Source organism: Homo sapiens, chromosome 1 (genome assembly GCF_000001405.40).
Source record: "Homo sapiens chromosome 1, GRCh38.p14 Primary Assembly".
In the NCBI taxonomy this organism is placed as follows: Eukaryota; Metazoa; Chordata; class Mammalia; order Primates; family Hominidae; genus Homo; species Homo sapiens.
Window position 1 is genome coordinate 111463223 of NC_000001.11, and position 23054 is coordinate 111486276.

The window sequence follows — 23054 nt, forward strand, 5'->3', positions numbered from 1 at the left end:
CCCATATCCAACACAAACATGTGGTTTAGAGAAACCTGGTTAGAGAAATGAGTGATCCAGGGAAGGGATGGGAAGTTGTCCAGCTGCAGCTTGTGAGCTAACACATGTATGAGCTATAAAACAGCTGCTGCTTCACATTTATCCTCCAAATTTTGCTCAAGACTTGTGGCTTACCCTAACCAGAACATTGAGGGAAGATAATTCTGGAAAATGTAGTTCTGCCTAACCAAGCTGACATTACAAACCACCACAATAACTATCCTATCAATAATTGTTAACCTGAATGAATAATGCTTAAAAATTTCAGCCCCAGGAGATCAAGTAAAACAGAGAGAGAGAGGGAAAGTGACAGGTTCGAAAACAAATGGTGTCTGAGCTGGCATTTGGAAGTTAGCCAAGAGGGTGTCTCAGGGATTAGATAGAGTCCAGGAAGATGGAACAGCATAGATGTAGGAGAGTGTGACATTTTAAAAACTCTTAAGTTTGAGTGAAATATAAATATTTAATAAATTATATTAATGGGTTTTTTTGGTTTGTTTTTTTTTTCTTTGAGATGGAGTCTCGCTCTGTTGCCCAGGCTGGAGTGCAGTGGTGCCATCTCTGCTCACTGCAAGCTCCTCCTCCCGGGTTCACGCCATTCTCCTGCCTCAGCCTCCCAAGTAGCTGGGACTACAGGTGCCTGCCACCATGCCTGGCTAATTTTTTGTGTTTTTAGTAGAGATGGGGTTTCATCATGTTTGCCAGGATGGTCTCAATCACCTGACCTCGTGATCCGCCCACCTCAGCTTCCCAAAGGGTTTTTTGGGTTTTTTTGTTTTTGTTTGGTTGAATGGTAGGGACAGAAGAAGATTACATGGGGTTAAAAGGATTGAACAGCAATGAAGAAATTGACTTAAATATAGAATAATTTCCAGAACATTTCTCACCCCAGTAACTAGAGGGAACCAAAGGTTGGCTCAGGGGAATGTTGTTTTAAGATAAGAGGCTTGAATGAAGAAAAAGTCAATGGAAGAAGAGGATGAAAAGAAAACAGTGAAGGAGGATACACATAGTAAAATCCCTAAGTGAGAGAATAATATTCAGATGACAGGAATTAACAGAAGGTAAACATCTTCCATTGAAACTAGAAAGATAAAGATGGACCTTGAAAGAATGAAGTTTTTCAGTGGTGGAACAGGAAGCTCATTCAACAATCGTTTATATAAAAAAAAGATACCATGTGTCATGCTTACTGCTAGAAATTAAGATAAGACAATATGTCATCTCATCTCCACAGACTTTACAGTCTAGCAATCTAGACATAGAGTAGTATAAGGGTTGCCATTGTTAAAACTGTAGGGTGATAGGGGCATATATAAGTAAACTTAATCTAGTGTAGGAGATTATGAAAGCCCTTCTGGAGCAAGTAATATTTAAATTGGTATCTGTAGAAAAGAGAGATCATCAAACAGAGGAAATATTAATACCTTGTGCAAAGCGCCTGAGATAGGAAAGAACATGGCACCTTGAAAACCCTAGAAATGAATGACTGGAGCACAGGGGAAGGGAGGGTGTGGGAGATAATGCTGGAGAAGTGGATCATCCAGATTATGCATGTTTATGGCCTTTTTGACCATATTAAAGAATTCTATGTTGTTTTTTTTTTAAATAATGGAAAGCCAGTTTTTTTTTTAAGAGACTTTATGCAAGGTAAGTATGGATAATGTATTAAAAGAGTTGCCAGCAAACTTTTCCTCTTTAGGGCCAGATTGTAATGGTTCAGACTCTGAGGGCCACATACAGTCTGTGCTACATAATTGTCTTTATGTTTTGTTGTGTTTTCTTTTTACAACTGTTTGACCCCTGTAAAACTGTAGAAAATAGTAAGAGTAGATGGCGGGAGCATCTAGGAAGCTATCAGAGTAGTCTAAGGAGGACCTGATATGGCTTGGGAGAGAATGGCCATAATGAGAAAGAAGAGACTTGCCATAAGATTTTAGAGTTGAATTGACAAAGCTTGCTTCTAGATAGGAGGAGAGGAGGATGTGAGATTGAGGAAAGCATGTAAATTGCCTCGTAGGATTCTGGCTGTGTGGTACTGTTAATTAAGATACAAAACAGAGGAGAAGAAGCAGGTTTTAAGGGGGAAGCTACTGCATTCAGTTTTATTGTTGAATATAAGTTGACAATTAGATGGTTCTTTGGCAACATGAGGAAATGAGCTTCAGATCTGGTAAAAGTAATGGCCAAAAAAATAAAGTAGGGCATCGTTAGCATATAGATAGTAAGTCCAGGGAATGGCTGAGGTAACATAGGAAAATTGTATGGAGTAAGAAGAGAGGGCTGTCTCAGCCAGATTGGATGGAGGAAATCAAGCAGGCAAAGGAGACTGGTGAGAAAGGGCCAATTTCAATTATCATTTTTTTGACCTATGATTTACTTAAAAGTATGTTTTTGAAATTTCTAAACATATTTGCTCTTTTAGTTCTTTTTATTGTTGATTTCTAACTTAATTACAGGCTGGTCAGAGAATGTGGTCCGTATGATATCAACTTGAAATGATTGAGAGTCACTTTCAGCCTGAAACAGGTGTCAGCAAACTATAACCTGTGAGCTAAATCTGGCCTGCCACCTAGTTTTGTACAGCCTGGAAGCTAAGCATGATTTTTACATTTTAAATATTATACATAAAAATTATACAAAATTCAAATTTCAGTGTTCATAAATAAAGTTTTATTAGAACATAGCTACCTACACTCATTCATTTACATATTGTCTGCGGCTTCTTTGTTACCATGTTGGCAGAGCTGAGTACTAGCAACAGAGACCATATGCTCCACAAAGCCCAAAATATTTACTATCTGCCCTTCACAGAAAAAGTTTACCTGCCCCTGGCTTCCAACGTGTTCAATTTTTAATGTTTTAGGTGTTCTTGAAAAAAATCTGTACTCTCCAGATAACATATGCAGGGTTTTATATATGTTTATTAGATTAATCTTACTGACTGTATTACACAAATTTATATACTTATAACATTTTGTCTGCTTAATCTACCAAATACTGAGAAATGTAAACTAAATTTCCTACTTTGGCAGTGGATCTGTTAAGTTTGTATTTTTTGTTTGTTTGTTTTGGGGCTTTTTTTATAGTTCTGTCAATTTTACTTTATAAATTCATAGTTTAGGTAACTAGAAGCAAATAAGTTTAGAATTGTTATCTCTTCTCACTGAGTTAAGCTTTTATCAGCATGTAATGATGATCTCTTTTTTTAACGAATAGTGTCTACGTTAAGGTATATTTTGCCTGATATGAATATACCAGCTATCTTGTTAACATTTTCCTGGTGTAACTTTTCATCCTTCTTTCAACCTTTATGGCTGTTTAAGTTCTAGATACATATTTTCAAACAGTATATAGCAGATTTTTTATTCAATCTGGCAATCTTTGACTTTTAACTAAAGAGTATAGTCCATTTTCATTTATTGTAATTAGCAATTGCTGTTCTATTCTGATTCATTCCCACTAATATATTTTATATTTTCTGTTTTGTGGCCTATTCTGGTTTTTGCTATTCATTGTTTTGGATTGACTAATTTAATTCCAATTGTTTTTTTCTCTAATAGTTTGAGTTACTCTATTTCTGTTATAATGATCACTCTAGAAATTTTAATATTTTAATCTCTCTTCTATGTTTTATATTGTTGTCTGTGTTATATTTCTTGTCCACTATTTTTCTCTTCAAATGTTTTAAACTTGTTATTTATCCCCACTATTGAATTTCTATCTTAGTCCATTTATGCTTCTATGACAGAGTACCTGAGACTGGATAATTTATAAAGAAAATACAATTAATTTTTCACAATTCTGGGAGCTGGAAAGTCCAAGATCAAGGTGGCAGCCAGATTGGTATCTGGCGAGGACTGCTCTCTGCTTCTGAGATGGCACCTTGCTTCTATACCTTCTGCTGGGAAGGCATACTGTGTCCTCACGTGGCAGAAGGGACAGAAGGGCAAGAGAGGACTCTTTTCAACCTTGAGCCATTTTGTAAGGATGCTAAATCCATTCAGGGGGCAAGGTCCTCATGACTTAATCATCTACCAAAAGGCTTTCCCTCTCAAAACCATCATAGTGCGATTAAGTTTCAACATGAATTTTGAAGGGGACACATCCAAACACAGCAATTTCTAATTTCAATGATAGGTTTAATATCTTTACATTCTACTTATTTCTTTTCAAATTTGCCTGATTATTTTAGTACTTTTTTATTCCTTCATTACACTTTCAATATCCACTTTATTTACTTAAAAATATTAAGCATACTTTTATTTTGGATCTGATCATTCTTATACCTACAGCCTTTGCAGGTCTCTGTCTCTAACATTTGTGGTTTGTTATTTCTGCTGTCTCTTTCATGATGGCTTGATTACTTTTTGTGTTTTTGTGATTTGTCTTGTTGTTAGCTCATATTTATTGGAAATGTGTCTGTGGAAGTCTTTGACACCTGGTCGAAGAGGCATTCTTCTACAGATAACTTGCATTTTCTTCTCCCAGCGTCCAACTTAAACAACCAATTTAAACTTGGAATTTTGAGGTCCACAGACAGTACAAAGTCTGGCCTAAAACCTCCTAAAGTTAGGTTTGTGGTTAGGAATGTCCAAGGGAAGCGTATTTTGTTTTGTTTTTCTTTTTGTCCCCTTCTATCCAGAGCCAAGCTTGAGATAAGCAAGTATGACAGGCAGAATTCTACAATGCCCCATGATCTCTGCTCCCTTGTGTTACTGCAAGTATAATCCTCCCTCCCCTGAATGTGGGTGGAATCTATGACTTGCATCTAATCAACAGAATATGGCAAAGGTGACAGGCTGTCACTTCCATCATGACATTATGTTATATACAACTTTGTCTTAACAGGCTGGAGAGACTCTTCTGTGGCATTCAAACTGCCATGTTGTGAACTGCCTGTGGAGAGAACCACAAAGCAGGGAACTGTAGACAGCCTCTAGGACCTGCAAACAGGCTCCAGCTGACAACCAGTAAGAAGCCAGGGCCCTCAGTCATGTAAGTCACAAGGAAATGAGTTCATCCAACAACCAGAGGGAATTTGGAAGTATATCTTCTCCTAGTCAAGCCTCTGATAAGAACACAACCCCAGCCAATACCTGGATTACAGCCTGGTGAGACCTTGAAGCAGAGAACCTTGATAAAACATGTCCAAGCTTTTAACCCATAGAAACTATAAGATAAATGTGTATTGTTTTAAGCCTCTAAATGTGTGATATGTTAGGCAGCAATAGAAAACTAATACAGCAAAGGTCTCCACCATCTCTATCTGTGGCATGGATTTTTTTTCCTCATTCACCCACCAGGGGTCCCTTTTCAGAGGGTACAATCCAAATCGCCACCTTTGTGCAGGCTCTAGACTTGGTTTCCTAACCTTGCACACATGGCCTTTAAACCCAACCTTCAGGTCACCAAAAATTGGTAGCTATATCCAGAGCAAACACCCATTTCAGGTCTCAATCAACTTTCTTATTTCCCACATCTACTTTAGCCATGTGCTTCTAAATTATGGTGTTTAAAATATTTTATCCAACAAGTGTTATGTTTTTTAACAAGAGGATTTCCTTACATACCTAATCTGCTATACACCTGGGAATTTCCATTACTCATCAGCCCATTGAAGGTAAATTTCCTACTACTACCAAACCCCAGGCTACTTAAGCAAAAGAGATTATGATCTCTTAATTGCCAAATCCAGTCAACTCTTTCCAGTCCTCATGTTAATTGGCCTCTCTCTTTCAGCAGCATTTGGCACAGGTGGCCACAGCTTTTCCTTCCTTTCTTTCCTCCTCTGGCTCCTAATCACATATGTTTATGCTATTTCTGCTGTCACCATTTCTTCTCAATTTCCTTAGCTGACTCTACTTTTTCTGCCTCCCTCTTAAATCTTGGTGCTCCTCAGAGTTCTATCCTAGGAATTTTATTCTCATTCTGTAATACATACTGTACGTGGATTACCTTATCCATTCCCATGGCTTCTACTATCATGAGTATACTGGTGACTTCCTAATCTATACCTCAAATTGTATTTGGAAAGATAGATTAGGTTCAGTGAGATGAGACAATAGCTGGGATCATAGGTGTGTGACATTGCACGTGTCAGGTGCAATGATCCCAGCTATTAGGGAGGCTGAAGTGAGAGGACAGCTTGAGTTCAGGAGTTCAAGACCAGCTTGGGCAACATAGTAAGACCTGTCTTAAAAAAAAAAAAAAAAGAAAAGAAAAGATCTACCCAAAATCTCAGTAGCTCAATACAGAAAAGTTTACTTTTTGCTCATATAGAGTCTACTGGGGGTCCAAGTGACTCCCCAGAGAAACTGTCCTCCATATGTTGACTCAGTGATCCAGGGTTAGAACTCTTACCTTCACCTTCCCATCATAAAATCTCCATTGTTGTGGGAGGGGGTCAGAGCAGGTTTTGCATTAGCAATTAAATGCTTTGGCTAAATGAGACATGCATCACTTCATTCACTACCCATTGGCCAGAACTTGTCACATGACATTACCCAACCACAAGGGAGGCTCCACACAAGAAGGAGAGGAGAACTGGTTATTGGTGAGAACTAGTACTGTCTACCACACAAATCTAGATCTCTTTTGTGAGCCCCAGATCTGTGCATCCAACTGCTCTCTCAACATCTTTACCTAAATGTTCCACAGGCACCCCAAACCCAATGTGTCCAAAATTAAACTCATTATTTTTTCCCAATCCTATAACCCCTTATTTTATATTATCAACATTAGTTGATGGATACAACGCAGGAAACCTAGTTATTGCCACATCCCCTCTCTCTCTTACTTTCCTCTCACACCTAATAAATGACTAGACTCATCACCTATCTGCTCTACCTCTTCCCCATGGCCATTGCCGCTATTCAGATCATCCTAGTTTCTCACTTGGAACTCTGCAACACCAAAGGATTCTTCACCCACTGTCTGGCACCTCACCAGTCCCCCCTACACTCTGTTGCCTAAACCCAAATGTGCTTGTGTTAGTCCTCTTCAGCAGTCTTTCCATTGCCTATACGGGTAAAATATGTTTAGGGCCCGCCATTACCTGGTTTTATCTATCCTCTCCAGCCTTTCCTCTTCCATCACCCACCCTTATCCTATCCTCATTCCCCATAGCACCACCTATGGTGAAATACTTGCATTTCCCTAAACTCAACCATCGTGCCAAAGCATGCCCTTGTTTACCCTGTCCCTCTACCTGGAATACACTTCCTCCCTCGCTCTGCCTAGAAAATTATTCATCTTTCAAGGTGCAACTCAAACATTGTCTCCTCTATGAGGCTTTTCTTGACACCTATCCTCCCTCCTTATTGTGTAGCCTGACCTCTTTGTTCATTGCATCTCACTCTATCCTGTACGGATGTCTCACATCTACAATATTTCATTATGCTTATTTATGTGACTGGCCAGTCTGGAACATGCTTTTGTAGATGAATGAAGATATCTGTCTCTCTGCAACGGACAGATCCCGCAAGTCAAGAACTGTTGTCTTACTCATTATTGAACCTCCAGAGCTTGACAGGGTGTTTTCGTAGGTGCTAACTAAATGTCTGATTAATTAGTTAATCCTCCCTCTAAGTCTTGAAATACCGCTGTTTCCTTCTGTGGCTCCTCTTCCTCCTTCTTGCCCTTTGGTTGTATCTTTGATCATTGTCTAATCTTTTATCCCCCCTTGTTTTTGCTGCCACCTTCCTAAATATCTCCCAAATCCATATATATCTCTTCATCTCTAGTGCTACCATCCTAGTCCACATTACTATTACCCTCCTCAACTGTATCACTGCAGTAATCTCTCAGCCGGTCTATTCATATCTATTCTGGCTAACTTCCAATCTGTTTGCTCCAGTTTTAGTGATTGTTCCGTAATGCAAACCTGATCATGTCACCCTTGCTTAAATATCTTTAGTACAGATAAACCCACTTCTCTTAAAGACAAAAGTTGTGACGGACTGGCCCCTTCCTGCCTATTCAACCTCATCCTCATCATGCTCCACCCTCTGCCCACAACCCAGTGCCACCTCACATACTTCCTCTTTCAGCTTTTGTCAAACTAGTCTTTTTTTTTTTTGCCCTTCAACTTCCTACCTTCCTTCTGGCACAGGATTTTTAAATGTTCTGTTCCCTCTGAACTTTCCCTTCCTCTTGTTCTAGTGGAACTGCAACTCACATTTCAGATTTCAGCTTAAGTGTTGGGTCATTTTGTTATGTTTTTTGGCTCTAGGAAGGCTTCCCTGGTCCTCTTCCCCTCTGTTGTAGGCATCCATGGCACAGGGTCCTGATCCTTCACAGCACACTTAACAATCACAATTTACCATTTCTTTGTGTGGTAAGGGCCTCCTTTACTAGTCTGAAAGTTCCATGAAGGCAGCCCCTCACGCTCGTCATAATATCCTTAAAGCTTAGAATGGTACACAGCACATAGTAAATGTTCAATAAATGTTTTGGAGTAAGTGAATGAAGAAATGAATTATCTCAGCAACTGAGGTTCAAAAACTTGAAGTAATCATTGACTCATCCTACTGTTTTATTCCCAATATCCAGGTCCCAAGTTATATGTCCTCCAATTTTATGATCCCTGTGGTTTCAGCCTATACCCTTACTACACAATACCCAGAATATCACCGTACCATCTAGCTTCTTTGTCTCTACCCACAATTTATCTTATATGATATGGTACAATCTGTCATAAAGGCTATGTTTATCATGTTATATCTCAATCAAAAATATTTAGTGTTTATTTTTTAAATATTTCAAATATGTCTTGCTTGGACTTAAAGCTCCCCACCATCTGGCTGCAATCCATCTAAGTCAACTATTTTTCATCTCCCACCCTCTCCAAATGCCCCTCCCTATTTATTTATTTATTTATTTAAGCACTCTGTCACTCAGGCTAAAGTGCAATGGCATGATCGTGACTCACTGTAGCCTCAAACTCCTGGGCGCAAAGGATCCTCCTGCCTCAGCCCCCCAAAGTGCTGGATTACAGGCGTCAACCACCACACCCAGCCAAAATGTTCCACTCTTGAACTGTGCTAATATCCCAGAAATACATCACTTGAATTTCAGCAACCAACCCTGGGCCTAGGGCACCCCTCCCACAGCCCTTTCTCCCTCCATCCATCCAAAGCCTATCCACGCTCAAGGTTTACCTGAATACTTCCTTGCCTGATTTCTCCAGCTCTGCCAGCTGTGAGTTACTCTTCTCCACGTGGAAACCTCTTCCCCAGACTCTGTGCCTGGCTAGCTCCTTCTCATCTTCGAGTTCTCTAAGTGGAAATGTGCACTCCTTAGAGAAGCCTTCCCCAGTCCTCCATCTTCTCTGAAGACATTCTCCCAGTGTATTCTGTCTAGCTAGCACTCTTTTTTTTCCCTCAAGGCCCTTAATACAATGTGTCATTGACTTATCATTTACTTGTTTTTCATTTCTCTTCTCAATTATGTGGTAGAGTCTGTGAGGCAAGGAACTTTTCTGCCTTGCTCTCCGAAAAACCTGTAATAATCTGGTCAGTTATTAAACCTATATAACCTGGTCAGGCACAGTGGCTCACGTCTGTAATTCCAGCACTTTGCGAGGCCAAGGCAGGCGGATCACCTGAGGTCGGGAGTTCAAGACCATCCTGACCAATATGGTGAAACCCGTCTCTACTAAAAATACAAAATTAGCCGGGCATGGTGGCGCATGCCTGTAATCCCAGCTACTTGGGAGGCTGAGGCAGGAGAATTGCTTGAGACCAGGAGGTGGAGGTTGCAGTGAGCCAAGGTTGCAACATTGCACTCTAGCCTGGGCAACAAGCATGAAATTCTGCCTCAAAAAAAAAAAAAGAAAGAAAAAAAAAGAAAAAAAAAACCCTATAATACTAGCTCACTGTATGGCCTATAGCATTTACTTAATGAGTATATTTATTAATATTATTTTACAAATAAATATTTATAAAGAAATGATTCGCCTTCCCTTTGAAGGGATCTTAACACTCTTAACACATTTGAAGTCTGCACAGCTAGTACTTAACTCTTAGCACTGTTTGCTCTTCATTTTTCATTATCAGCCTCATCTCCCTGGTTAGAATAGATGAGATTATAAGGTTTTTGATGACAATGTCATACTGATGCGACCTCCACAGTAAATCTGGCACAGTGGTTAAAGTAAACACTTAATAAATATTTAATTAGCAAGAAACCTGTCTTGCCTCCTTATGTTCTGTCATTCATGTGTCAGACACAAAGAAAAGGTACAAAAGAAAGATTAAAAAATCATAATGTTGGGCTGGGCACGGTGACTCAGGCCTGTAATCCCAGCACTTTGGGAGGCCGAGGCGGGTGGATCACGAGGTCAGGAGATCAAGACCATCCTGGCTAACACGGTGAAACCCCGTCTCTATTAACAAAATACAAAAAATTAGCCGGGCGTGGTGGCGGGCGCCTGTATTCCCAGCTACTCGGGAAACTGAGGCAGGAGAATGGCGTGAACCCGGGAGGCAGAGCTTGCAGTGAGCCGAGATAGCGCCACTGCACTCCAGCCTGGGCCACAGAGCGAGACTCCGTCTCAAAAAATAAAATAAATCATAATGTTGACCTCAAAGAGGAAGCCTACCGTTGAGTTTAGTAAGATCTTTGCTACACACAATGTGATGCTGGCAGTGGCAGGGGCAGTAATCTTTATTTCGTCATTTTTGAAACATAGAAGCCGTAACGGAAGCAAGTGAAATGCTCAGTCTTAGACGACTGCGTCGTGCTATGACCGGACTTTTTCTTGAAAGGTAAATGCATTTACCACATGCTTTTAATCTAGATTAAATAATCACTCACCAAAAGAAAGTGTCGTCTAATTGTTAGTGGTTTCTATCACTTGTTTTCTTTGATGCAGGAAGGGTTGTATTTGAATGGTTCTATTAAGTTGATGGATTTTACGCTATCAGTAAGATTCTCCAGTGCTGGATGAAACGTGAAAAAGTATATATAGCACCGCTTCTATTTTAATTTATGCTTCTGCCAACTGTTTGGGTTGTGCTGAAAGGGAAATATATTTCCTGCTTTTCTTGGCCTGGATTTGTGAGTAGCTATTTCCCTGTGGTATTGTACGATGATTTTGTCCATTTATGTGAAAGTTAGGGTGGGGTGGCCTAATGTTTTCACAGCGGCTATGGTAACATTTTTGTAAATTCAGAACTGCTACTGTGAATTTCAGGATTTTACAGAAACCTATGATCCTATCTTCTTCCACCTCTCCAGTGGCAAAGCCTAGTGTAAGCTCATACTCTGTTTAGCACCAGCATATATTTCAATATTTTAAAAATATTATGTCAATATTTTATGATGGTCTGCAAAGAGCACCACTGACTTACAAGTTAGAAAAGGAGCAAAAAGTGTGAGAAAAATTACCACTGCCGATTCTGCTGCGGACTGTGGGCCTCCTATTCTCATGGCTCAGATTCCTCAACACATTTTCCCGTTGGCCCTTTTCTTATCTGACATTGCATGATCTAAAAATGTTTGGTGAATTGTAAGGTACTTGGTAATGTTGTTGTTGCTGCTATTGTAACAGGTACAGGGCGATGAGGTGTCCTTCTCCCAACCCTCCCACAGGTCCAAGGACTTGGAAGTTAACTTTTGAGAGCTGAACAATAAAACAATAAATAATTGATGACATTTGTTTAAAGAAATGACCTTAAAATATAGAAGAAATAACAAAGCCAAAACATTTTCCCATGAGTTTGCCTAAATACAAAGTAAAATTTTGGCCTCCTAAAAAAAAAAATCAGGGATGCATACAATGTTTTATGCACAAAAATATCTCTTTCATTGTTATTGATTTAAATAAAAATGGAAACAATTCTATCAGTAAGTGGGGAATTTGTTAAGCAAGTTATAGTACATAGCTATAATGGAAAGACCTATCACCACTAAAAAATGTTATAAAAAGTTTTTAGTGACATAGAAGAATGTGTATGGCAAAATGCTGAGTGTAAAAGGAAGATATAACCTCTTATAAAAAGAAATATCTCAAGTAGCTTTTTAAAAAATGCATGGAAGTCTGACTAAAAGGAAAGACACTAAAAACATTAATGAGTAGTAGGAGTTTGGGTGATTTCACTTTCCTGCCTTTAGATATTTTATACATTTTGATATAAAGCCTAAACAAGAATATTGGCAAACTTGAGAAGATAATACGTGAACAGATTAGAAGTGTCTAATGAGGTCTAGAGTAAGGGTCTCCAAGAGCAAGTTTGTCAAAGTTTATGTAGCAATGCCAGGGAAGAGTAAGATTGATACATCAGACCCAGTTGGCAGTCAATATAAAAATCATCCATTCATCTTCTCTCATACTTACTTCAGTTCAGTGCTTACCAAGCAAATTTATGATTTTCATTGGCATTCTTATATGTTCCCCTGATAGGCAAAATTCACTGATTGCACCAACATGTACCTAATGTTATTTCGGCTTATACATCAGTCTCCTGTGAGTTGGTTGGTGGGAATCAGTTCTGGAGAAATCAGTCATTTCTTGGTGCCCTGATAAGATCAAATTTCTGGACCTGCAAACCTGAAGGCTGGCTGCTGAGCTGCAGAAACAACACCAGAATTGTTAACCACTGATGAGTGATCTGTGACCACTGATGGCACTAGAACACCCACAAATTGCCTCTCATTGTTACTACTCTTATATGACAATCACAGTCTCAGAGCTGGCCCTTAAGCCGGCTCTCCCTTCCAAGCTTTCTAAGAGATACCTTGTTTTATTCTCAGGGGATGACAGCATGGGAGGCAATGGCTCCACATGTAAACCCGACACTGGTGAGTTTACGACAGGAATAATTACCTGCCTCACGTCTGAGTTAAAATAACTAGAAATTGTGCTGAAGGGCTGTAATGGAAAGGCACTAGCTAGTGCATTTCTGAAACTGGAAGAATCCAATTTTACCAGGACACAGAATTTAATGCCAGGAGGGGTGAAAGGGGGAACCACAGAGACCTGCCTGGCCCTCCAAATCTGAGTAAAGGGTGTCTCTGCTCAATATCAAACTAGGTGGGTCCTGCTCCCCTATTTGTGGTGTAGGCATTGGGAAAACCACTGTGGCTGTTTTTGGCTAGGCACTGCTAATAGCTGCTCTGCAAAAAGGGCAAACATAAAAGGGCAGCAGTTTCAAGGTCAAATTCCCCAAGGACTTTGGGAAGCATTTGTTGTTTCTCCCTAGCTGGGAGATGCTTTCCTTAGGCCAGAGGGAGCATATCTCTTCAGGAGTTCCTATTAAAATCTTTGAGGAGAGCAACATATGAGATTTTTTTTTTTAATCAAAGGAACACTAGGCTTGTATTTCATGTATGTAGTTGATTTTTAAGTTCTATTTTTCATTTAAAAGTACTTGGAATCTAAAAAACAATGTTCTCTCATTTTTGTAAGAGTTGCAGCCCCATCCTTAATTTCCACTGGTTGCTTGGGTAGAATGGGGCACCTGGGGAAACTTAAGCTGGAAGGGTATCATGAAAAGTGACAGATACACTAATTCCTTTTGTGTTTTCTTGTAGAAAGACAAGGCACTCTCTCCACAGCAGCCCCAACAACTAGCCCTGCACCCTGTCTCTCTAACCACCACAAGTAAATGAGCATTCTCCTATCTGTTTCATCTTGTACCACGTGGGATTTGATGTTGTGCTGACAGCCTCGGCTTGGGGATTTGGGCAGGGAGACTGGGGAGAAAGGACTAGAAACAGTAAAAGAACAAAGTCAGTTTGTGATCTCAGGAGTATGGCTCTTAATTTGGCATCCCCTAAGCTTCAAGAGATCCATGGATCCCCTAAGCTTATAGGTAAAATTTGCTGGGTGGGGAATTATGAACATTGTGTGGGTTGAGGGAGGGGGAGAGGAAGAGGCCACAGCTTCCTCTGAGGCCTCAAATGGATGTGAAACTCAAAAGCAAAAGCTGAAAACCACTGGGTGAAAGTTCATTAATCAGTGTGAAAACCATTTCAGGAGTCCATCCATAGGCAGGAAAGGTTTCACTCTTTAGGAAAGGCCTTCAAAAGCCCAACAGTTCATCCCCTGCCTTTCTTTGCCAAAACAGCAAAAAACATTTAATCCTTGCCTTTTGTGCTGGGGTTCTACTGACACTGCTGCTGATAGCCTTTATCTTCCTCATCATAAAGAGCTACAGAAAATGTAAGTGGTCTCCAAGGGATAGGACAGCCCTTCTCTCTCTGCCATTGATACTAGAATTAGCTATGAGTGAGTAATGGGAGGAGGTAGGGGAGGGTGCAGTGTGATAAAACCTGCTTAGCCCACCCTGTCTGCAGACTGAAGATTCAAATCCCTTCATTTTTCTTCCGCCCTGCCCCCCACCCACCTGCCAACACCTCCTCCCCACCCCACCCTTCACCCAAGATCGAAGGGAGAGGCTTCCCATTTCCCCAGGCCCATTGCTGAGATGGGTCCCTCTTCTTTCTGGCACCATGGCAGATCACTCCAAGCCCCAGGCCCCAGATCCTCACTCAGATCCTCCAGCCAAGGTAAGATGACCACACTGTTTTGGGGACACTGAAGGGCTACCGTCATTGGAATTCCCCTCCATACTCTTCATTATCTGCTAGAATGGTGGTATTGATTTCCAGACACTGGGCAAGTGATTCTTTGACCAAAGTGCTCAGGTTGCTTCTAAAGAGCAACCTTTTGCTCCAGACTGGACTCACTCATTCCTCCTTTTTCTCCCTCTGCAGCTTTCATCCATCCCAGGGGAATCACTTACCTATGCCAGCACAACTTTCAAACTCTCAGAAGAAAAGAGCAATCACTTGGCTGAGAACCATTCTGCAGACTTTGACCCCATTGTCTATGCTCAAATTAAAGTAACAAACTAACTCAGCTTTTCCAATGAGGCTTGAATCCATTTCCTCTCATCTCAGCCCTATCTTCACACATCACTTTCACTTTTTTACAAATTTTGGACCACCACCTGTGTGAAACTGCAGTCGGAGTTGTTTAGATGTGATCTGGCAATGCTATCCAGCATCTTTGGAGACCAATGGTCAGTCTTTTCCTGGCCAGAGGAAAGATTGATGGCCCTCCCACTTGAACTGACAGCCTGTGAGCCCCTTGGGGGCATAGACTGCCTTCCTTGGACCCTTCCAAAGTGTGTGGTACAGAGCTCAGTGCACAGAGTATTCACCCAGCATCATGAATCAACTTGGGAGGAGTCAACCAAATGAACAATCTACCAAAAATTTCAAATAAAGTCAAACCCCCCACAGTGCTGCCTCCATCTTTATTATTTGTTTGTCTGTTCCTGCCACCTTCTCCAGAGGTCAAGATTAAAAGTCCAGAGCTCATTCACAGCCAAAAACACCACCAAAGGTGATGGCACTTGGAAACAAGCTCAGATTTGATTGGGGTGCAGGTACCAAACTCTGCCACTAACTAGCAGCATTCATTTAGGCAAACTTGTTAAACTTTTCAAGCCTGAAGTCTTTCATCTTGAAAACAGAGATAACACTTACCACTAATATTTAGTGTGAAGATTAAATGAAATATCTTATACATAAACATTCTATACATCCAAGAGCTCTACACAAACACAAGGTCCCTACTGTATAAAGCACTATGCAAATGGAGATTTCTACCTCCATCCTATAGCATAAGAGGTATGCATAACAACATTATATGAGAACCAAAGATAAAGATTAAACATTAATTCCCCCAAAATCCCAATGAATAATCACATATAAAAATCCCATTAAAAATATCATCAGATGAGTTCCCAAAGGTGAACAACAACAAAATATCAATAAGATTATTTTTCACCGGGCAGGCTTACTCTAAATTTCCTATGTAAACCATAAACAAGACAGCAAATCCAGAAAAATGTATAAAAATAAATAATTAAAGTTATATGGGAAGGCTAGCCCTAGTAGCTAACTAAAAGTACTTGTTTTATTAAGCATCACTAATTAAAGCAATATGTTAATGGTACCTGAATAAATAAATCAATTGAATAGAATTTAAAGACCAGAAATACATCAAAATATATAAGGAAATTTAGAGTATGATGAAGATGGCATATGAAATCATTTGGGAGAAATTGGTTTATTCAATAAGTGGTAGCAAGATAACTAGATAACCATGTAAATGAAAATAAAGTAGGATCCATATTTCACTTCTTATATGAAAATAAATCCCAGATGTGAAAAATTTAACAGTAAAAAAAATCATAAAAGCACTAGAAGAAAATATGGGAGAATTTTTAAAAATATTTTTGTAGAGCATGCCTTTGAATGTATGTCACAAATCCCAGAAACCAGAAAAGATTAACTTGACTTCTAAAGTACAATTAAAAGTCCAAAGTACCATTAAAAAGTCAAAAGGCAAATGACAAGCTTAGAAAACACTTGCAAAGCATCTTATAGATATATAAAGATCATTTGTAAATCAACAGGGGAAAAAATGAACAACTCAATAGAAAGGACAAGGGATAGGGGTGGGCAATTTGTAGGAAAGAATATATAAATGGCTCAAATATATGAAAAGATACTCGACTTCACTCATAATAAGGGAAATAATGATTACAACTAAAATTACATAATTTTTTCTATCAGTAAGACTGGCAAAATTCAAAAAGTTTGCTACCTGTGTGGGCAAGACTTGGGGGGAACCAAGACACACATACACTACTGGTGGGAGAGCACGTTGGTACAGCTACCACAGAAGACCATTTGGCAATAGCCAACAACATTCTAAATTCTTTTCTAAGAATTTATAAATAATCCTATTTCTAAGGATTTATCCTACTCAAATACATGGAAAATTGCCTACGTAACTTGAACTGCAGCAGTAATCAAATTGGCTAGAACTTACTGAGGCTTATTACACTTTTAGTACGATTCTAAGTGCGTGGCATGTATTCGTGGAATCCTCACAGAACACTGTGAGGTACAATTATTACTCATTTTAGATACAGAAATGGAGGCACAGAGAGGTTAAGTAACTTGCCCAAGTTCACATTGCTAGTAGTAGTGGCACCGGAACTCAACCCTGGGTAGGCTGGCTCCAGAGTTTGCATGTTTATACATTATGCTCAATTCTCTGAAACAGCAAAAGATCGAGAAAATCTTCATTGTACATGGAGAGGAGACTGGTTCATTGAGTGCAATGTAGCCATTAAAAAGAATGAGGCAGCTCTATATGTTCTAATAAAAACAGATATCTATGATATATTGCAAGCTGTTGAACAGAATTATGAATATGCTCTACTCACATGTAGTAGAGTATATGTGTATCTATATATTTAGTATACCTCTGGAAGAAAACACAATGAATGGTCTTGGTGATGGCCTCTGGGGAGGGGAAATTGCTACCTGTGGGACTGAGGATCCCTAAACATATAGATATAAATAAGAGGACTGAGCAGACAGAAACCAAAATATCATCTTTATTATGAACATGGTCAACATTGGAGAATAGAGCTTATACTACAGCTGCAAAGAAGTTCAGAATACTGAACTCCACTACTGAGTTATAAGCTGCACCAGAGCAAGCCCACCCGTCCCAACAAGCAATGCAGTTGTTCAACCTTCCCCTAAGGAGTTGCAGAAGAGCTCATGTGCTCTTTCAAATCTGCACCCAAAAGAGTAAAAGAGGAAGAGGAAGAAAGAAAGTATGTATGCCCAGTTCCTATTCCCAGTCTGCCATGTCAGATAGCCCCCTCTACCTCCCATGGTGGGGGGTCACTGAGGAGTGTTGCCTTAATGGAGCTCAGTCTACACCAAAGGAAGCAGGAGTGGGAGAGAAGCATCCACCACAGATCTTTCAAAAATACATTAAATAATATTTTGGGGTCTGGGTGTAGTGTCTCTTGCCTGTAATTCCAGTCCTTTGGGAGGCCAAGGCAGAAAGATTGCTTGAGCCCCAAAATTTGAGACCAGTCTGGGCAACATAGGGAGATCCCACCTTTACAAAAAATAAAATAACTAGCCAGGCATGGTGGTGCATGCCTGTGGTCCCAGCTACTTGGGAGGGTGAGGTGGGAGGATTACTTGAGCCCAGGAGGTTGAGCCTGCAGTGAGCCAAGATTACACCACTGTACTCCAGCCTGGGTGGCAGAATGAGACTCTGTCTTAATAATAATAATTCTTATTATTATTTGCAAAATCAAGTTAAGAAAATTGAAGTCCAAGGAGATGAAATAATTTACTCAATGACATCTGGCTAAAAATAAATGGCAGAACAAAAATTTAAATCAAGTCCTCTGACTTCAAATTCCTTGCATCTGGCCTCCACATCAAGCCGCCCCACAGCACTTATGGTGTCAAGGAGACGAGAAAGGCAAAGAGTCAGGTGACGTGATCCAGACAGCATGTTCTTTCTGAGAGAGAGCAACTGCTCCTGGAAGTTGGATTTTGAGGGAGAAGCCAGTGGAAGACAGTTTGAGTAAAAAAAAAAAAAAAAAAAAAAAAAAAAAATTAGTCTCTCTGTGGGAGTGAACAGGTCTAGAAGAAAAACAGGTTTAAGGGAGATAATTCAGTGAGGTGGCCACAGCACCACCAGGGCAGCCACCCCACGAGGGCAGCAGAGACCCAGGAATGGCCTTCTCCCGTTCGCTGACTGTAGGAAGTGCACACAGGGAGGCCTCTTGAGCTTTCAGCTGTTCCCAAACTTGGGGCTGACATCAAACAATTCTGCCATCCCTGAAGCTAGAGGCCATATCAGCTTTCCAGTTCAGGGCCAGCACCTTATAAACATCGCTACAAGAGTAGAGTAAGCACTGTCACTTGGCTAGCACTGTCACTTGGCTATCTACTTGTACAAGAAATATCAAATTAATTGCTCTTTCCTGTTTTCTTGAAGCTGCCCATTTTTTTTTTTAATGGTATAGCCCTAAACAGCGTCTTGTTTTTTGTCTTCACATTATGCAGCCAGCCTTGCTGGAGGATAAAATGAGTAATTAAATGATTGACCCCAAATTCAAAGATCTTTGCTAGGTAAGAGCAGAACAAAGCTCTTGAATCCTGGATCATGGAATCAGAACAAACCTACAGGGAAATGGTTCTCCAGACATCGTGAATGTAAATCTTCCAAGACATCTGTAGATGTCTTCATCTGCCGCGGAAGGTCTATGTCTGCTATCTCGCCTTGTAGAATGGAATGTCCTAACTGAACCCAAACTGTATTGCTATTTGCAGAACTGGTGGGTTAATGATCCCATTTGTTTAAATTCAATACAGGGCCACAGGGGAGGAATTGGGGCTGTTTTGTGGCTAAGGGAAAAGAGAGCACTTTTGATGTTGTTTGATCTGAGCCTCTGGCAAGGAGGTGGGTTGTACAGAAACACAGAGGTGTGGTGTCCACACCCTCATCCCTTCCCATCAGGCCGTTGAGTAGCTTTGAATTCCCTACCTTTGGGGAATTAGGACTTAGGGTGGAAGCTGAAGGAAGTGTGTTCATGAACGATTTTGTGGGAGTCTGGATCTAAACACACAGGACATGTGCAGAATTATTTCAACAAACAACCTCCCTGTTCCAACTCTGCTCAGACCAGAAGGCCACTTGAGTATCCTGAGGACTGAGGCTGGCCAGCACACCCATTAGAAGAGATCGTAACACAATGAAAAGCAGGCTTGTGATGACGGCAGCACAGACAGTGAGTGGGAGGCCCTGAGAATTCCCAGAAATAGCAGGAGAGACCCTATATGGGGAGAGAGGGTGTAGATATGCAGGTGGGAGCTAAGAGTGTTGGTAATTCTGGCATGAATGGCAATATAACCTCATTCACACCCATGGCTGTGATGTCTTGTTCTTGATTTGTATTTCCTGATTTGAATGAATATTTCACTTAAGTTATCACACCTTGGTTTCTCATTGATCAAAAGCAGCATCCCTTTAGTCAGGTGGAAGTTTCCCATTAAGGATGAGAGGAATGGCCTTTTCACCAAAAGAATCTGAGAACCACTGATTTAGTCTATCTCCCTTTCTTTGGGTTGGGCAGCATTTGATACCAATTCAGAAATGAGTTAGAACGTTATTCTTTGAAAGAAACTTTTCCAGAAATATTTTTACAGTGATACCCTAGAAGAAGTTACTCATACCTTGGAGTTCATTCAACACTGGCTAGGAATTTATTGGCTAACAAAATACAAGTGATTTCCTGGTCCCCAATCCAGATTCTCCACCTCTTCTTCACTTCTGACTGATGGAATGCATAAGAACTAAGATCTTGAGATGTTATTTGAGGGCAGCCTTGCTTGGGTGTGGTCTATCATAGCTCCTCTGACTACCGCCGTTGCTACCTGGCTGCAAATGATTGTTGTCAAGGATAGAGGGTCCTTCAGAATTCCTGGGAGATCAGAATCAGTCTCTGAGGTGTGGGCCAGTTGTCATGGTGATTATTCTGTTGTAGCATCACTTTATGAACTAAATTAAAAAAATCTTCAGTCACATCTGTTCAGTAGGAGCCATTTCCTTTGGAGTCAGGACACGCGAGAAGGGCTTCAAAGTGTTGCCTACTTTGTTGGGGAATAGAAAGGGAAAATGGAGTTGAGATCTATTGCCTACCCCTGAAGAGTGTTTCTGCAGCAAAAGTTCCAAACTCTGTCATGGGGCTTTCATGGGGACTAAACACAAGTTTATTTTCAGGGCTGAGATCAGATATCATTACTGCAAAGCCCATCAGTAGGAAAGTCAATAAGAAGGCTTGGTACACAGGGCTTGCATTCACCTCTGTGAACACAGCTGAACTTCTTCAGAGCCCAAGAATGTCAAAGCTAGGAGCCTTGGTTCAGGCTGCCACATTTCATCTGCCCGAGTTTGAGGAAGCAGGCCATGGCTACAACAGGCTGTACAACTTCTTGCTAAAAAGAAGTAGCGTTGAGTTCTACTGCCTCATCTTTCATAGTATCATGTGCCTTTCCTTAAGAGCACTGACTCCTGGTGGCAATGTTACATTTGGGTGTTGATGTGTGATGTGTGATAGTTTGTCTTCCTCCCCCTCTACAAGTTCCATGGACACAGATGGCATTTCTTTTGCCCATCTTTGTATCCCCAGCATCTAGCTAGCATGGTCCTTTTTTGTTGAACTAACGAATAAAAATATTGGGGAGTATGAAAATGAGACCCTCAATTTATAGAAAAGGAAACAGGCCCAGAAAAGTATAAAGTTGCCCAAGGTCACACCTTAAAAAAGTGACAATGGTTTTAGCAAAAACCTAGACTACAATTGTGTCCAGAAGGGCTGGTCTTGGGCAGACCTGAGAAAGCCATTGTCTTGTCCACATGCCCCACCTTCACAGTTCCCAAGGCTGCTAGAGGACAAAAGGTCAAGAATGCTGTGGGAGCCACTACTTTGCTTTTTTTAGGGCTCCTATTCTGACCACAGGAACAAAATATCCCAGGGAAAGTATGAGGCCTTGAAGCCTTTGCTTTGCATTTCAGATTCTTCTGGCTATGGATCCTGGTGTATCACTAGCAAGGGTTACTAGGAGTGTTTTTCTGTCTTTTTCTGAAATATTGTTCTTCTACATTTCCATACCCAAGGGAGGTTGCAGTCTGTTTTTAATTATGCCTACAGACTCTTCATTGCCTAAGGTGTTCCTGTGATTTCTGAGCATAAAAAGAAAAATGCAAAACTACTATTAGCCAAACAGTGGCAACTGTGCAATGTTCTTTCTGCTCTGTGTACACTTCAGAGGTTGGCATATTTGCCACATGCTGGAGGATTCTCTGAACAGTAAGACCAGCCTTGTCTTACTGACCAGTCATGTCTCTGATGCTGCCCTAAAGGGAAAGGTGGGCACACAGTCCCTTCTCTATTTAGGGATGGGGAGACCTAAAGATCAGGCTTGAGGCAGGAGAATCGCTTGAACCTGGGAGGTGGAGGTTGCAGTGAGCTGAGATCGAGCAACTGCACTCCAGCCTGGGCAACAGAGCTTGACAATGTCTTTAAAAAAATAAACAATTAAAATTGGCCAGGCATGGTGGCAGGCGCCTGTGGGCCCAGCTACTTGAGAGGCTGAGGTGAGAGGATGGCTTGAGGCCAGGAGCATGAGGCTGCAGTGAGCTATGATCATACTTCGGCACTCAAGCCTGGGCAACAGGGCAACATCCTGTGTATATGAAAAAGGAGACTCTTCTATACCTGCTTACCCAGCGGTCCCAGAAGCTCATTCCTTCGACAGGAGCCCGAAGTTTGTGTGCTGGGGAGGTAGGTGGCTCTGCAGATGGGAACCTGGTGTGGTTGTCTCAGGACCTCCTTCCTTCCTGACCTACACATGTATCCACTTAAGAAAGCTCCAGTGCTCCCTCTGTCACTTCTCGTGATGCCTTGTCACCATCAAGCAGATATCTACCCCAGCCCATGGCTGGCTGCATTGGTCTCCAGGTGACCAGGCAATATGAAGAGGCTCTCATTCACTCATTTGAAATCTGCTCCTTGACCTCTTTCATTTTCTCTAATTCTTGCCCACCCCCTCCCTCAACAATAGCTACTTACCCCTTCTATTCCTTTGACTTCTCCTCCTTTTGGTCAAATGACTGATTACAGAGATGATTCCCAAACCCGTGATCAGTATGCAAATGATGAGAATGGACGTCCTAGAAGGAACCACAGCAGATTTCATGTTGCTTGGAAGAAACTGCCTATTGATTCTCAGCTCTGGATCCCTTTTTCTGGGATTTGCACCCCTGCCCACCCCCCAACCCAGTTACAGTAGCTTCTGGGAACCGTATTCCTTTAGAGTGACCCTGTCCTTTGGACCACCCTCGATGGGACCTGCTGAGCATCTGACTAAGCTGGGCCAATGAACCCCTTCCTCAGAAATTAACTGTGGATTGGGAATAGGAGAATCCAGTCTCAGACTGGCCAGTCTCTTGAATGGGGGAGAAATAAACTTAGGAACCATAAATGGATGACTATTAGGGGAAAAAAGAGAAATATACAAGGGCAATACAGAGACAGAAGGAAGGAAACACACAGATTCGAAGCAGATTAGAGACTGAGGTAAATTCGTGATGATGTTCCTGACAATTT

The 23054-nt window shown here is 41.0% G+C and overlaps 2 protein-coding genes across 7 annotated transcripts in view; one reads left to right on the forward strand and one right to left on the reverse strand.

Annotated features, from left to right (window-relative positions):
- Positions 1-10761: 10761 nt before the first annotated feature.
- On the forward strand, positions 10762-15290 carry C1orf162 (chromosome 1 open reading frame 162). Of its 4 annotated transcripts, none has more exons than NM_174896.4 (6): positions 10762-10808; positions 12796-12843; positions 13576-13645; positions 14112-14206; positions 14429-14553; positions 14761-15290. In NM_174896.4, exons 2-6 carry the CDS (start codon positions 12807-12809, stop codon positions 14899-14901), a joined length of 468 nt encoding a protein of 155 aa, NP_777556.1. In that variant the 5' UTR covers positions 10762-10808; positions 12796-12806; the 3' UTR covers positions 14902-15290. The 4 variants fall into 4 exon arrangements, with proteins under 4 accessions (NP_777556.1, NP_001287763.1, NP_001287764.1 ...); NM_001300834.2 differs by having other exon boundaries at positions 14504-14553; NM_001300835.2 differs by lacking the exon at positions 14112-14206.
- The window catches only part of TMIGD3 (transmembrane and immunoglobulin domain containing 3), an 80615-nt gene continuing 77686 nt past the window's right edge, over positions 20126-23054 (reverse strand). For all 3 annotated transcript variants that reach the window (NM_001302680.2, NM_001081976.3, NM_020683.7), the window contains 2 exons: positions 22518-22618; positions 20126-20535 (listed from right to left, as the gene is read on the reverse strand). In NM_001302680.2, the coding sequence (NP_001289609.1) occupies positions 20465-20535; positions 22518-22618 (172 nt within the window). In that variant the 3' untranslated portion in view covers positions 20126-20464. The remainder of the gene's footprint in view (positions 20536-22517; positions 22619-23054) is intronic.

Bases quoted from the DNA above. Each gene is read 5' to 3' on its own strand.
- C1orf162 (NM_174896.4), top strand. From the start codon at position 12,807: ATGGGAGGCAATGGCTCCACATGTAAACCCGACACTG. The intron at 13,646-14,111 runs GTAAATGAGCAT...TTGCCAAAACAG, and splicing joins TGTCTCTCTAACCACCACAA to CAAAAAACATTTAATCCTTG. The intron at 14,207-14,428 runs GTAAGTGGTCTC...CCTTCACCCAAG, and splicing joins CATAAAGAGCTACAGAAAAT to ATCGAAGGGAGAGGCTTCCC.